The following is a 16,432-nucleotide window of genomic DNA, read 5'->3' as shown; positions in this document are numbered from 1 at the left end:
GTGGCAGAGGCCTGGTGACACACACCTAGCAGCTTGTTGGGGCAGAGGGGACTTGGCAGCACCCAGGATTGGACTGGACGCTGGGCCCCTTCGGCTGATCTGACTTCCTCGGGTTCCCAGGTGGCTGGTTGGGGAGGCGACATGGGAGGCTGAGCTCCGGTTTTGTCCACAGGGGCAGAGGCCACCACTGTCTCGTCCATGTGCACCTTTGGCCTGTGAGGACCTCATGGCACAGGTGGATGTTTTCCAGGGGTTCTCCAGGCAGGTGGAGGCTTCTGACCAATGCCGAGCTGCTGGGCGCTGCTTCATGGCCTGGGACCTCTTTAAGGCCAAGTCAGTCAGATTTTCCATTGTGGCTGTGGGGAGCTTCAGACCAGAAGCAAGGAGTGGAATCATGCACGGACCTGATTCTACCCGGGAGCTGAGAGAAGAAACCTTCAGGTCCTGTCCTCCTGGGAGGGGTTCTTCTGGGAGGTGTCCTCCCCTCACCCTCTCTCCCCTCCTCACCCCCACCCCAGTCTGCCCCTCCGGCTCTGCCTGCAGCTTCCTCTGGCAATTATTAATAGTTACGGCAGCCCCAGGGAAGCAGTGCAGGGTCCTCTCTGGGAAATGAGGTTGGAGCACCAGCAGCCCCCACGGCAGGTACTAGGTGGAAACACACAATTGTAGCAGAGTCCTAGGTGGCTCCCTCCTCTGGGTTTGTCCTTTGTGTCTGCATTTTGTCATGAAATCCCAGCAACAGCAGCCACCGCCATTTGGAGCTCTTACCATACGCCTCTCACCACAAGGGGCCTTGCAGGGTGAGCTCCTTACTACCCTGACACCCAACTCACCCAGCCCTGCTTGGTGTCTCTCTCTCTCTCTCTGTCTCTCTTTCTCTCTCTCTCTCTCTCTCTCTCTCTCTCTCTCTCTCTCCCCCCCTCTTCCTCCCTCCCTCCCTCCCTCTCTCTCCCTCCCTCACTCCCTCTCTCTCCCTCTCTCTCCCTCCCTCTCTCCCTCTCTCTCTCTCTCTCTCTCTCTCTCTCTCTCTCTCTCTCTCTCTCTCTCTCTCTCTCTCTCTCTCCCCCTCCCTCCTCCTCTCTCTTCTGCCAGTGGTCCCCAGCAGCTGTGGTTGGAGGCCGAATGGGGTTCCCCTCCCTCCCAGGCCAGGCTCAGCAGGGACAGAGGAGAGGGCCGTGGATGGTCAGGTCTCCCAACACGTCCCTTTCACCCCAGGGCCTTTGAAGAGCATCTTTGCTCTTGGAAGCTTCCCTGAGAAGTTTGGGGCTGGAGCCCAGAGTAAGTGGCTCCTCAGGGGACCTGAGGAGGATTTCCAAGGTCAAGGCGGGGCCCGGGCTCCTGACCTGTTGGTCTGCCTTTCTCTACGGCCATCTGTTTTGATTCAGTGAGACCCTTGATTTCACCTGCCTCACTAAGCACCTGCCTGGGCCAGGGCTGAACCAGCACCACGTCAGCCCTGGCTGGCCGAGGCCTGTGGGCCACGAGTGTGTGTTCCCACCCAAGACCCACCCTGGGGTCTGCCGGGGCTCCACCCTCATTTCCCAGGCAAGGACGCAGCACTGCTTTCTGGGGGTTGCTGTAACTGATGACCGCACACTAGGGGGCTTAAAACAACAGAAATGGACTCTCTGCCATTCTGGAGGTTGGAAGTCCAAGATCAAGGTATTGGCAGGGCTAACTCCTTCCAGAGGCTTGGAGGGAAAATCTGTCCCTGGCCTCTCTCCCAGATCTGGGGGCTGTCCGCTGTCCCTGGGATTCCTCAGCTCAAGGCAGCGTCTCTCCAATCTCTGCTCTGTCTTCACGTGGCCACCTCCCTGGGTGTGCCTCTGTGTCTCCTGTCTCTCTGGCCTTGGATTTGGGGCCCACCCTAATCCAGGATGGCCTCATCTCTATCTGCACCTTACTTCCATCTGCAAAGACCCTGTTTCCAACAAGGTTGCCTTCTCAGGTTCCAGGAGGACATGAATCTTAGGGGCCACTATTGAGCCCCTGCAGGCCGAGGCTCCGGGAGGAAGGAGGCACGCCCAGGACCCTGGCCTAGAGCCTGGCCCACCCTCGTCACACCTGCTCCTTCTCACGCTTGGACCCATCTCTGGGCCAAGTTTATTTCCCTCTCCTGATGACCCTGCCCCAGGCGATTTCTCTTTCCACAAATCCTTCCGCTGTGTCTCTGGTTGCCTCCGCTGACGCCCTTTCCTGGGGTCCTGATCCACTCGGCATCCTCTCCCTGCACCCCCAGGTGTGTGACCTGCCTGCAAAGCTGCCCCTGGGCCCAAGCCAGCTCTGGCGGGACATTTCCAGCCTGTGCGGCAACTATGCATGTCTCTGATCTGGTTCCGACTCACCGTGCGAGGGCTGGGCCTGAAAAGAGCTCCAAGTCCCCTCGTATGGGGTGTGGGGAAGACCAGGAGGCCTCTGAGGGACAAACCCTGGGTGAAGGGAGGCCGTGGTCAGGAGCAGGGGTGTGGATGCTGATGAGGGGGTGCAGGGGGGCCCTTCCTCTGGTGGGGAGGGGCTAATGGCCATGGGGAAGGGGGGTATGGCAGGAGGTTGTGCTGGGGAACTAGAGCCATAGGGCAAAGGTCAACCTTGCGGGTGAGGCTTTCTCACAGTTGGGGTGCGAGGGGCATGGTCCGGGGTCCAGAGGTGATTTAGTTGTGGATTCCATGGCTAAAAATGAAGTCCAGTGGGGACGGCCAATGAGGAAAATCTGAAGAGGGCACTGCTGTGGGAGAGGTCGGCAGAGGCTGTCACGGAGCTCCCTGCCCTGTGGTCACCGGCTTCGGCTCCCCTGGTCTGGGCTTCGGCCGGCCCAGGTATAGCCAATGGAGCCCCAGCTGGCAGGGAGCTGGCTAGGAGATCAGGCAAGTCACTCGGGCCCCTGGTGCATCAGATGGGGAGGATGGTACCTGCCTCTGTAGTCACAGGGGACAATAAATGTGACCCTAAAGGAAGCCACCATTTTCAAAAATGCCCTGGGACATGGGAAATGCCGTGGAAAAGCACGGCCCGTCCGCAGGACAGCGCTGTCTCTGCAGCTCAGACGGACGCTATTAACCCTGATAACAGGTAAACAGTGTGCCTGCTTCAGCTGCAAATTAGACACGGCTTTATCTCTGTTCGGTAAGGCTGGTGAAAGTGACAGAGGCCTCCTGAGGAGGCCTGGTTATCGCTGGTGGCCCATGTCCTCGTTGCCGCTCAGCCCAGATCCCCCCAAGTGCCCTCTGGCCCGGGTGTGAGGCTCGGGCAGCCTCATGAGTCTGACAGGGACGCTCCCCTCCCCTGCCGCTTGATGCCATTCCTGCGTCCTCCTTCTCTGACGCCTCTCCTATTTTCCCGTCTGCACATGTGTGCCTTCTCCTACTCCTGGAATGTTCTGGATTATTCATAACAGACTCAGGGTCACCAGAGAGTAGAGTTGGGTCAGCAGGAGAGCTCAGTGTTGGCTTGTGCCTCTCCCCAGGAAGGTCTGGTATGTGTGTGTGTGCATGTATGTGTGTGTGCATGCATGTACTTGCACTTACGCACACATGTGCATATGCACGGTGTGTGGTGTATGCCACTGAGTGTGTGTGCATGTGCAGAGGCACGTGTGCACATGCGATCATGCTTGCACATGCATGGACATACATGTGTGCAGTGTGCGTGTGAGCTGAGTGTGTGCATGACATACACATCTTGTGAGCCTGTATGCACAGATGTGTTCACGCAAATGTATGTGAATGTGTGTGTATGTCAAGAGGGAAAACAGCCTAGACCTCCTGGAAACTTCTCAAAATCCTGAGTCCACCGCCTGCCAGACACCAGTCATGGTCACTGCTGTTTGGATGGAGCCTTTAGGGGAGGTTACGGGACATCTGGGCAAAGGCGAGGAGAGATGAAATCACAGTGAGATTTGCAGTACGTTACCTGTTTTTATTAAAAATCAATGACACAACAGAGCGATTTCGCTCTATCTTACTTAAACTATATCCACTGCATGGGCATCAGGAGGGCTGGGGAGGGGCTGGGGAGCGGGGTGCTGCTCTGCAAGCAGCCTCTCTTCCCCTCCATAAAGCCCCCAGCTCATCTCGGCCCCATCAGAGCTGGGATTTACGGCCAGACCTGCCGACAGCTTGCTGCGCGCCTCTCTCGGTTTTATTCCTGCTATTTATCACGCCGGGCCCTGCTCAGCGCCAGAGGGACAGTTAATCAGGGCAGACTTTCTACCTCGTCATCCTGGGATTCTGCCGGGAGAAAATGTGAACTGTAAAATTAAAATCTTGGGAGCTGGGGAATTTGTAAAGAAGCTGATGGTTTCGGGAGGAGGGAGAAAAGGGAGATTTCCCCAGCTTCCTGCCCCATGTATGGACAGACCAAAATATTGAGCTTCGGGGATTTCACACCCAGAACTCATTTTCTCTTACTGCCGTGCCATGGACCAGTTCTGAGGCAGTGACTTCCAGATTTCATCCCTCCCCTCAGCTCCTGCTCGGGGGCACTCCTCCCTTCTAGAGGAAACGCAGGTGATGGTCATGGCCGAGAAGCCAAGCAAAGCAGGTGAGTGCCCTCGGGAACTGATGAGGCCTGACCTAGTCCGATTGTAGGCACGGCCCCTGCTGGCCCCTGGGGAGACCCCCAGCCAGCCCCTGACTTCACCTATGTGGTACTGGGCCAGGCTTTCCTAGAGGGGAGAGGAGACGGGGAGTGACCCCAGAGAAAGGAGCCCACTGCTGTGCAGCCTGGCTGCCCCGCTATCGTGAGGGCGAATGTTCAAGATCCAGGAGAGCCAGATCAGCGTTTAGAGATCCAGGAGAGCAGAGCCATGGACCTGGGAGTTGGGAGCCATATGCTGGAGGCTGAAGCTCATCATTTGATCTTGGAGAGGAGGGAAAAGAGTAGCTTACAGATCCTCCTTGATCCTTCCATGAAAAACAGGGTGGGTTTTACTTCATGTTTACTATCATGGAGGAGCTGGTTGGACTGGGCAAGAGGGAGTAGGATACATAGAACCCAGCGCTAGCGGTGCCCCTACTGGGCCTGCAGGGTTAGGACCTGAGCTCAGGGGCCAGAGCAGGGAGAGCTGCCAGGGACCCTGGCCAGCAGCACAGAAGGAGGTTTTCTTTTCAACAACATGAAGGTCACTGCAGCTGCATTTAGAGCCCTGGTGGTGACGTGTGTGTGTGTGTGTGTGCGCCTGTGCACCTGTGTGTGTGCATGTATACATGTGTGCTTGTGTATACCTGTGTGTGCATGCCTGTGTGTGCATAGTGTGCTTGTGCCCCTCTGTGTACATGTGTACCTGTGTCTGCATGTGTGTGCATGGTGTGCTTGTGCCCCTCTGTGCATGCATGTATCTGTGTGTGAATGCGTGTGCATGTACATGAGTATATGTGTGTGGCATGTGCCTCTCCAGGTCTGCTCATGAAGAAGGGAAGGGCATGTATGTCAGGCACTAGAACAAATGGTTTTCCAGATTCCCAAAGGGCAGAGCAGTCAGGCAGGAGCCAGATGCCTTCTGGAAATACCCTTTGGGAGATGACACAGGTTTCAGGACCAAGGCCTCATGCCGGCCTAGGGTGGGAAGTCTGGGGAGCCTGGCATTTGGGAATGGGGTTTCCTGACTCTGGGGTGCCCAGGAGACTCCTGAAGACCAGCCCTCCATCCCCACATGGATCTGTCTGCCTCCCATCCCCACATGGATCTATCTGCCTGTTGCTCCTCCACCTGCTCCTGGTGGCCTGGGGGCCCAGCTCCTACCGGGTGTCCCGGGCTCTGCCAGCTCTCCAGCAGCCCTCCAGGACCTCAGAGCCTGGAGTGGGGCTGGTGTCACAGAGTGGCAGTGACGGTGACAGGCAGCTCAGCTCAGAGGTGCTATGGGCTTTCCCGCACCTCCCTGGGCTCGTCATTTATTGAGTCATCTCTTCAAGGTTCTGGAGGAGCTCCAGGAGGAGCGGGTGGGCAGGGGGACCCGGCCTCCCCGGCTGGAGCTTGGAACGGACAATATTTGCATGGGCAGCTGTCAGTCAGGGCCAGCCGGCAGCAGTGGAGGCACCAGCCAACCTCTGGGGCTTGGGGATGGGGCGGCCCCAGACCCCAGGGGGGCTCCTGGGGGGTGAGACCCTCAGGCCTGGCGATGAGGTCAGCATGGGGAATCCAGAGGAGAGAAAGCGGAGGCTCAAAGGCAGACCCCAGAGACCCTCCTGAGCACTCAAAGGTCCCTGTTGGAGAAGGGAATCGGGGCGGCCTGTAGGCTGATTGAAATTATTCAGCCTCAGTTGAGACTCCACTCTCTGGGCCCCCATCTCTAACAGAGTGCTTCCCAGGACAGAAGATGGCGGCTCTGGCCACAGCACCCCTCCTCCTGCCCCAGCTCCCCGGAGAGGTCAAAGCATCACCAGGGGCCAAGTGGAGGGGGTGGGTGGCAGTTTTTTGTCAAAAATGAACCCTGGGCTCCCTGGCTCTGAGGCTGGTGAGGTCCCAGTGCCTTGGGCCTTGGATCCTGCATAGAGACAGGGCTGCGTTGGAATCGGCTCTGGCAGCCTGTGGATAGCCACCTGTGGGAAACACTCAGGTCCTGAGCTTTCTTCTTTCTTCCCCCTTTAAAACATAAGCAGGCGCCTTTGTTCCAGGGCTTAGGCAGGAGCTCCCTGGCCTCCTAATCATCTGGTCCCTCCAGGCCCAGGCACGTACTGCTGCCTGCCTCCCATCCCCACATCTATCTATCTGCCTATTGCTCTTCCACCTGCTCCTGGTGGCCTGCAGGCTCAGCTCCTCCCGGGTGTCCTGGGCTCTGCCAGCTCTCCAGCTGCCCTCTAGCCCTGTCCCGCCCATGGGGCTGGACTTTCAGGCTACCCTCTGTCACCAGGCCTTGGTACCTCTATGTGGCCTCTGCTTCAACCGTACTCATGCTTAGGTGCACCCGGGGCCATGCCCCTCTGTCCAGCTGCACCCAAGTATGTGCACACACAAGCATGTGTGTTTCGGAATGACCTTCCCCTGCCCTGGTCTGTTACCCAGCACTGCCTTAGAGCAGCTGCCAATGGAGCTGCCTGCCCCACCCAAGCCAGGCATCCTGTGGGCAGCCCCATGTCCTGTACGTTTGCACAGTGCCCACTCACAGCAGATGCCCAGCGGCTGCCTACCCGGGGGTGTTTGCTGACATTCTTCTAGAACCCCGCTCTGTGGTGTAGACCCACCAGCATGAAGAATCCACACATGGGCCTGGGGAAGTGAGGCTCCCTCTGCTCTTTCACAGGTTGCAGGTCTCATGGGGGCGGTGAAAACAGCTGCAGGGAGCGTCTGAGATCCCAGTGCCGTTTCTGTGGATTTGGAATGCAGTCTGTGATTCTGTTGTCACTATAGGTTTACCTTCCCAATTATGTTTGACTTAGAACAATGTTAAGATTGCTTTGCATTCCCCGAGCACACAGAGCTGGAGTGTGGGAGGAGGTGGCCGGGGATGTGCAAGGTGGCTGGGAGACATCGGGGACTGGAAGGCTGTTGTGGATAAGCCACACACCACTGATAAAGAACCACCTGCATGGAGACACCCTGTGAACTAACAAATGCAAACCAATGGGAATGCCAGCACCTGGCCAGCAAAGGGGAATGGGGCACAGGGCTGGAGGGCCCAGGGGCCCGGGCCTGAGCCCGGGGACCAACGTTTGTCAGTGCCTACCAGGAGCCAGGCTCTGTTGCAGGGATTTCCTCCTGTTGACACATTTACTCCTAAACGCCCTGGAGGAGGTGGTGACTGTGCTCATTCTCCTTCTACAGAAAGGTAAAGCTGGGTACAGAGATGGGTTTGGAGCGTAGGCTCAGGAACCAGGATCAAGGGGTGCCACACAGCGGCAGATCCTGCATGGGGACAAGCCTGTGTTGGAATCAGCTCTGGCAGCCTGTGGACAGCCACATGTGGGGGACACTCAGGGCATGAGCTTTCTTCCTTCTCCCCCCTTTAAAGCATAAGCAGGTACCTTTATTCCATGGCAGACCTGGATCCTGGCTCCAGAGCCTACACTCCAACCTCCATGTGGTGCCATTCCATGGGACAGAGACTCCAAACTGAGAACCAGCTTCCTCTGGTGACCAGCAGGCAGGCCAGAGGCAGAGGGCACAACTCACTGTCCACCCTGCGGAGGTGGGGGGCAGACACGCTGGCACCAGGACGCACCCAGCAGAGCCAGATATTGGGGTCCCAGATTGAAGGAAAAGGGGAAGGCTTTGGGGGCCACAAAAATCATGTCTTTTTGTTTTGCAGAGGAGAAACTTGTATTTTTCGTGATGTTACCTTCCTTGGTGTTTTCTTTGCACGGATTCACACACGTTTTTTACTTAGAACTTGCATTTTCACCTGCTTGGACAGGAGCCTGCTTGGAGCACAGTCATTCTTTGAGCACTGTCACCCCATTCTTCAGGGTCCCAGCCATGCTTGGCCATCACCTGATTCCCCGTAGCCCCGGAGTCCATCTCCAGAGAAAAAGTTCTCTCCCCATTAATGAACCTGAGTAAAACACAGCTTTCTCTGAAGTTCAGAGTCAGGATTTTGAAGTACTATGAATTGAATCCTCTCTTCCCTAAGTACAATGCACAATTGTCTGGGCCTGCTTGCTCCCTTGGCTAAATCCCCTATACAAAATCACACAGCTAGATGCAACTCACCTAGAATGTGTTGGGGTTCAAGAGAGGCATGTTGCCTGAAAGAGAGACAGTAGGCTTTTATTTCCCACTGTGATGTGAACACTGGGATTTTTATGCTGTCATAGGATAAAGAGAATCCCAACTCGCTTCATGGACTTCAGCCTACCCAGGTGTTTCCAACACTTCCAGACTCCTCCTCCTTGGAAGTTGGGGGCATGGGTTCTCTGGGTCTTCATCATGTGTAAGTCAGTTCTTGCTGCGTAACAAACGGCCCCATAAGTCCATGGCTTCAAACATTTACAGTCGATGCTCATTATTTGAGGATTCTGTATTTGCAAATTCATCTACTTGCTAAAATTTATTTGTGACCCCAAAATCAAGATTAAAGGTGCTTTCATAATTCTTCCTGCACCTGTGCAGAGCAGCAAAAAAATTGCAGTAGCCAGATGCATGTGGTCCCAGCTGAGGTCAAACAAGGCCTTCCAGCCTCAGCTCTCACACTACAAAGCGTCCTTTCTGAGACCTGCTTAGTGCGATGTTCTTCACGTTTTTGTGCTTTCCGTTGGGGGGTTCACTGTTTAAAAGGGCGCTGGAGCCCCGTGCAACACAGCTGTCCAGTGTTCCTGAGCGCCAGGAGGCTGTGACGTGTCTTATGGAGAAAATTAGAGGTGCTTCCTCTAGTGCTGTTAGCCGTGAGTTCAATGTTAACAAATCAACAGTATATATGAAATACAGTGTCTTTAAATAGAAACACCCTTAAAACAAGGTTAGGTACTGATTGACCGATGAAACTTTTGCGACCAGAAGCTTGCAGGAACTTAGCCATGTATTTCCCCGGGAGCCCTTGGTTTAGTATTGGCTAATCCAGTGTGGACGGTGACTTGATAGAACATAACCATGGCAAATGTCAAGAAGCAACCGCACCTTGCTCGTGGGGTCTGCAGGTCAGTGTGGGCTGGGCTGGGCTGGGCTGGGCTGGGTGCTGCAGCTGCTTCAAGCTGTGAGCCAGCTGGGCGTGGCTCAGTCCTGCTCACGTGGAATCGGCTGGGTCCAGGGGCAGCAGCTCCCAAGGGAGGTTCTTCTCCCAGCCACGACAGAGGTCCAAGAGGCCAAGCCCAGCTGCATAAGTACATTCGGAGCCTGTGTGTACATTGTCTGCTCACATTCTGTTGGTAAAAGCCAGCCAGCCAGCCAAGCACAATGTCACAGGGTGGAGTAATACACTTGCTTCCATGGGAGGAGTACAAAGTCACATGACAGAAGTGGGAACAGTGCCCCCTCTCCCACACTTAGATTTTGTATCTGCTTAAAAGACAGAGGTATGGGCAGGATGTCCAGGTCAACTGGCCTAAAACCTGGGTAGCTAGAGTAGGGGTAGGACTGTGGTGAGGGAGCCCTGGCCCAGAGACCAGGGCGGGACCTCTCCCAAGGTGGCCCTGGGAACAGAGGATGCGAGTGGGGTGACTCACACCATTTTCCTGATGGCACCTGGACCCTCCTGGCCCTGAGCGTCTGAGTGACCGTGTCTCCCTGCAGAGACGTCTGTGTCCCATTGGTGTTGGTGGTGACACAGGCAAGCTTGCCAACCACACCAACACCAGCAGGATGAAGATGTAACCTGGAGTCTGTGCTGGGAGAGGGAGAGAAAATGAGACTAGTTAATTAATGCTGGGGTAGGGGGAGCAAGAGAAGAGGGAGGAGAGCGACCGGATTCTAAACGTTTTACTTAAGGACGTCTTTCACGCTGTCACCAAGTTAAGTGTAAAGCACCGATCTTCAGGGACCCAGCCTCGCGAGCTGTGGCACTTGTCCTACAGACCCACTTGTTTTACTAAGAATACTAAGAAGAGGAGCTTGCAGAATTTCTAGGATCATTCCAATTACGTTGTCTCCTTTTCTGAAAGCTTGTACCACGTTAGCTTTTTTTTTTTTCCCCTTTGTCTGCCTTAGGGCATCTCCCTGGTTTCTCATCAGTAAATGAACCCGTTCCCTTCACATCTGGGACACAGGGCCTTTGATACCAGTGTGCATGAGAAGGACGGAAGAATAATTAACAAATTAATTAATTGTCCTTTGTTTACACTTCAAACAAATGAGGCAGATTTTTTTTTAACGAAACAGGTTGCACACAAATAAAAGGCTGCTCGCGACCCTTGGGAAGTGAACACGTGTTTCCAGTGGCATTTGCAGATGTCCCACCAACCCAGGTGACTGATGTGGGTATGGTTAGCTCCTCCATGAGCCAAGCTGGCTTTTGCCGCCTGGCCCAAGAGGTGAAGCTCCATGGAGATGCTTGTTTCTATGAAACAATCTTTTAAAAGACTCTCCCAGCAACCCCACTTCTGGGTATACACCCAACAGGGTTGGAAGCAGGGTATGGACGAGACATGTGCACACTCGGTTCATAGTAGCGTTATTCACAAGAGCCAAGAGGTGGAAAACCCAAGCGTCCAGCCACAGATGAATGGAGAAACAAAATGTGGTCTGTCCATGCCAGAGAATATTACTCAGCCTTGAAAAGGAAGGAAATCCTGACACAGAATACACAGTGTGAATGAAGCCAGAAAACGTGATGCCTCCGTAAGAGAAGCCAGACCTAAAAGCACAAGCACTGTATGACTTAGATGAGGTCCCTAGAATGGTTACATTCATAGAGACAGAAATTACGTCGGTGTTTACCAGGGCCTGAGAGAGAATGATTGGGGAGTTAGTGTTTAATGAGGACAGAATTTCAGTTTGGGAAGATAAAAGCATTCTGGAGATGGAAGGTGGCGATGGCTGGACAGCAAAGCAAATGTTCCGAATGCCACTGACTGTACACTCAAGATAGTAATGGTTCAGAGATATGTTTGTTCAGTTGATGAAAATGTGGGCCGGGCGCTGTGGCTCACGCCTATAATCCCAGCACTTTGGGAGGCCGAGGCAGGAGGATCACCTGAGGTCAGGAGTTCGAGACCAGCCTGGCCAACATGGTGAAACCCTGTCTCTACTAAAGATACAAAAATTAGCTAGGCATGGTGGCATATGCCTGTAATCCCAGCTACTCAGGAGGCTGAGGCAGGAGAATCACTTGAACCCAGGAGGCAGAGGTTGCAGTGAGCCGAGATGGTGCCACTGCTCTCCAGCTTGATGACAGAGTGAGAATCCATCTCAAAAAAAAAAAAAAAATTAGCCAGGCATGGTGGGGGGTGGGGGGCACCTGTAATTCCAGCTACTCAGGAGGCTGAGGCAGGAGAATCGTTTGAACCCGGGAGATGGAGGTTGCCGTGAGCCAAGATTGCATCGTTGCACTCAAGCCTTGGGGACAAGAGTGAAACTCCGTCTCAAAAAAAGAAAATGTGGTCAGAGGCTCTTGGGAACCTAACCATGTGTTTCCCCTAGGAACAATGGTTCAGTATTTGTAAAGTCAGTGTCTGAGAGGTCTTTGTGGAACATAACCACTGCAGTGAGAACAGACCGCGTGTTTAAGGTTTCCATTTCACACCTTCGTGTTCCTCAGCTGGGCCCTGGATTCCCCGATCCTTTTCATGTGCAATACCCATGATCACCGATCGGGCTTGACCTCATGTTTTTAGACTTAACTGTAAGGAATGATTCTCTGGTTTGATCCGGGAAACTTGAAGTTGTTCTTCTGGCCACAGAGATCAATGAATTTCCAATCTTCGGCACCTATCAGACATGCTTTCTGGTGAAATTGATGTCCACAGGCAGCAAACTGAACATGGGGCTCTGAGCGTGTCTGTTTTCACTTTATGCCCAGTGATCTTATGACAGTCTTTTGGCAGATAAGAAACAATATTTGCTGAGCACAGGGCGGGTGTGGTGGCTCACGCCTGTAATCCCAGCACTTTGGGAGGCCGAGGCGGGTGGATCATCTGAGGTCAGGAGTTTGAGACCAACCTGGCCAACGTGGCAAAACCCCATCTCTACTAAAAATACAAAAATTAGCTGGGTGTGGTGCTGCATACCTGTAATCCCAGCTACTCAGGAGGCTGAGGCAGGAGAATCGCTTGAACCCGGAGGCGGTGGTTGCAGTGAGCTGAGATGGCGCCACTGTACTCCACCTGGGTGACACAGTGAGACTCTGTCTCAAACAATAATAATAATATTAGTCGAGCACAGTATAAAGCACATACTATTTATACTTTAGAAACAAAAGTACTTGCAAAAGCGTATTTGATACTGAAATCACCTTTCTGATTAAGAGACTCCTAAAAGGACAGTTAAATGAACTATAGTTTGGGAAGCCTCCTTAACTGTAGGCAGGGGTTTTCCATTTACGGATGTGTTGAAGGATTTTCAGGCATGTTATGTTTGAGTCTATTTTCTACTTTTTTTCTTATCTGCTTTATTTATTTATTTATTTATTTATTTATTTATTTATTTGGAAGATGTTTTAGACAGGTTCACTCTCCTAAGAATTTTTCTTGCTATTGTAAAAACAATGGCTCTCGAAGTGACTGGGCTATTGTTCAAATCAAACACCTTTTCTCTGAAGTCGTCTTCAAAGCGACGGCTGGCTGGCCCCTGTGGTCTGAGTGCAACGCTGGGGGAAATCACTCAATCCTAGAGCTGGGTTGGTGCGCTGATGTCTCCAGGGAGCTAGGTGAAGCACCAGGCTCCCCCACCTCGCCTCGGCAGCCCCCTGCCTGGACTCTGATGTGCTGGGGGCTTGCATCCTTTGTCCTCTCACCCACTTTCCTTTCTGGATTCGCAGAGGTCAAGGACTCCCAGGCCAAAGTCAGGTCCTCAAGCACAGGCCCCAAGTTGAGCAGAACCACGAATTTATAGAACAAAGGCTGCAAGCCCTCCCCTTCCTCCCAAAAGAAGAACAAATGTAGGGATGTTGGGCTCTGGAGCCCAACGCAGCTGGCATCAGATCCTGGATCTCACTCAGGAAGCATGTGGCCCCGACGAGTCATTGATTCCCATGGCCTCGGTTTTGTCTTCTGTAAAATGGAGCTCCTAGTTTCTGGGTGGCAGGACTGTGGGAATTAGAGTCAGCCTCTCAACTGGCCCAGGTGTGACCTCAGGCTCCCCTGGGCTCCCCAGGTGCCCCCTTGAGGACCCAACCTCGGCAGCTGCAGGCAGCTGGCACCACACTGGGCTTCTTAGTGAGGGACTGAGTGAGAGGCAACTGTATATACAAACCCTGGCCCAGTCCACGGCATGGCCTCCCTCCTCCTGCCCAGCCTGCTGGACTCACTCTCTGCCTGCATCTCTTCTCCTCCCATCACCTGCTGCCACCCCACATTGCCAGTCCCCATTTGGGGACTTCAAGCGTTTCTTCTTCCGGTTTCCTCTGTTCCTCTCCCATATGGGCAAGGATGGGACTCATGACCATCCCAGGGCCCCTCAGGGTGGACGAGGCTCTGTGCGGGTGTGTGGTCGCTGGCCACTGCCTCTCCTCACAGAGGGTCAAGGATGCCTTTCCAAGGTCTCGCCCAGCTCTGTGCTGGTGTCCCTGAAGAGGCTGCAAGGAGCATGCTCCACGGCCGTGTGTGAGCGTGTGTGCCTCTGCACACGTGTGCACAGCACGTGGACCTGGGGCTGCTTTGGCAGAGGTGTTGTTGGCATCAACAGCAGCAGGAAAAGGTTCTGGGTAGGGGAGAATCTCAAGGGGGAAGAGTCTCTCTGGGGGAGTCACTGGCAGGGGAAGAGTCGGTGAGGGAAGCACTGGAAGGGGGACCCGGAGTAAAGAGGGAGTCAGCCACTCCGGGAACTCTGTCCATGGAGCAAGGGCAAGCTCCAATATACTGTGCAAATACTATATGACTTTACTTATACAAGGTCCCTAGAACAGTTAAATTCATACAGACAGAAATTAGACCGATGGTTACCCATCAGTAATTCACTGCTAGTTCTGAGAACATAAGCCGGGGGGCAGGGAGTGTCACCTACCCTCAGTCCTGAGCTGGGGAGGTCACAGGCCACGTCCTGCTGGGGACGTGAGCGTCACAGGCACTGCCACCATGGCTTCTATCAGCAGGGGTGTGGACGTGGGCGTCTGTGAAATCAGAGCAGTCCGTATCTCTGCCTCCCGAGGCTGTCGGAGGCTTTTTGTGGGTGCAGCTCAGGGAACCAGAGGAAAGCAGGAAGGCCCGTGGGTCACCTGTGGGTTGGCATGGCTGTGGTGATGTTCAGGGGACAGCAGCCCCGTGTTAGGGACAAGTAAAAAGTTGAGACCAGCCTAAGAGGGCTCTAGGCCCCATCAGTGGAGCTGGCTCTGCCCTGATACCGTGTCCCTGGACTTGTTCCTGGATGCGAAGGCTGGGCGGGGGCAGACGCAGGTGGAGAGTGGCTCCCAGACCAGGGTGGGTCTGCAGGAGACCGTCCTGCCCCGCGAGCTCCCCCATGGCACCTGCCCTCCCTCACCTCCCCTCACTGCAGGGGCTCCGGGGAAACTGTGCCTTCAGGCTGTGACTGTGGAGATGGGAGGGTTTGTGCTGGTGCCACACCCAGGAGCCACCTACAGTGCACCAGGCACCTTCAAGGGACAGAGAGAGAGGGAACGAGGACAGCGAGGATATTGCTGCAGGCGGAGTCTGTCTCGGCACAGTGGCTGCCTTGTGGGCCCATTTCTTAAGGCTGAGTGTAGGGGTTGACCTGGACATTCAGTTATACAGGAGGAGGGAGTGTGGGGATGCCGTGGTTTTGTGGTGGCCACGTCAGGTGAAGTGCCAGCCGTAACCAGCAGGCCCAGCTCCATCTGCTGGGAGCACGGGGCCCAGTCAACAGCTGCTTTGGAAAAGAAGTGGCTGGGAGACAAAGCATCCTCAGGGACGTGTGTACACGTGTTCATGTGTGCATATGTGCATGTGTACATGTATGTTCATGTGTGCACGCCTGTGCATGTTGCAAATATGTGTGTGCGCATCTGTGCGTGTGCAGGTGGGGTTTGTCAGATGGTGTGAATGGATGTGCTATGAGGAGCCTCTGCCTTCTCTGCTCATTGTGCTTCCTATCTCAGGATGTTTCCCCAACAGGATCCTTCTTCGGGGGCCTTAGCTGTGTCCTAACAAGGGTCTCCACGGTTAAGAGTGAGAAATGCTGTTAAGGAAGTGCAGTGGGCTCTGCCCATACTTTCTTGGTGCCTTCAATGGGACAGTGTTCATCAGGAGCATCCACAAGGCAAAATCACTGGCTGAGCTCCCAAGCGTATTCGGCCTCACAGCTCCCCTGGTTTGTGGGAAATCTTGTAGGATCAGTGTTGCAAGGAGCAGGCACAGCCCGGGAAGGCCCCCTGCAGTCGCCCCTCAGAGACAGGGGTGCTTCCCGCCAGCCCAACTGTGTAGGGACCTTTCTACCAACAGGGTCAAAGGACATCTCCCAGGACCTTAGAGCCTCAGCCCCTCCATTCCCTAGAGCAGGGTCCCTGAGGTGGTGCTGGGTGATGTGGAATGGAGCCTCCCTGGCCGCACTGCTTCCCCGGACAGATTGGGATCCAGATTCTGAGTGGGCCTGTCTGGGCAGGGGCCCCCCGTCCGCATCTCTTACCAGCTAAAGGGGAGGCACAGCTACTGCTCCGAGCACCATACCTGGAGAACTGAGGATGTAGAGAGCTTCGGGATTGGCGGGAACTGAGGGTCTGCAGGTCATCAGAGCCAGGTCCCTGCTTCTGCAGATAAATAAACTAAGAAAAGGGACTCCGGGGCTGGGTGTGGTGGCTCACACCTGTAATCCTAGCAATTTGGGAGGCCGAGGCGGGTGGATCACCTGAGGTCAGGAGTTCGAGACCAGCCTGACCAACATGATGAAACCCCATCTCTACTAAAAATACAAAATTACCCGGGCATGGTGGTGCATGCCT

General features: G+C 54.5%; 1 protein-coding gene across 55 annotated transcripts in view; it reads left to right on the top strand.

The window, feature by feature from the left end:
* Nucleotides 1–16,432, top strand: part of RBFOX3 (RNA binding fox-1 homolog 3) — a 576,227-nt gene that overhangs the window by 222,294 nt on the left and 337,501 nt on the right. The window contains exon 3 of one of the 55 annotated variants that reach the window (NM_001385815.1): nt 6,233–6,364. The exons of 53 other annotated variants lie outside the window; for them this stretch is intronic. The gene's annotated coding sequence lies outside the window, so the exon portion shown is untranslated. Of the gene's footprint in view, nt 1–172; nt 442–6,232; nt 6,365–16,432 lie in introns of all 55 variants that reach the window. One more of the 55 variants, NM_001385816.1, reaches the window with a different exon arrangement.

Source organism: Homo sapiens, chromosome 17 (genome assembly GCF_000001405.40).
Source record: "Homo sapiens chromosome 17, GRCh38.p14 Primary Assembly".
NCBI classification, from domain to species: domain Eukaryota; kingdom Metazoa; phylum Chordata; class Mammalia; order Primates; family Hominidae; genus Homo; species Homo sapiens.
The sequence above is the reverse complement of the archived record's forward strand: the minus strand, read 5'-3'. Positions and strand labels throughout refer to the sequence as shown.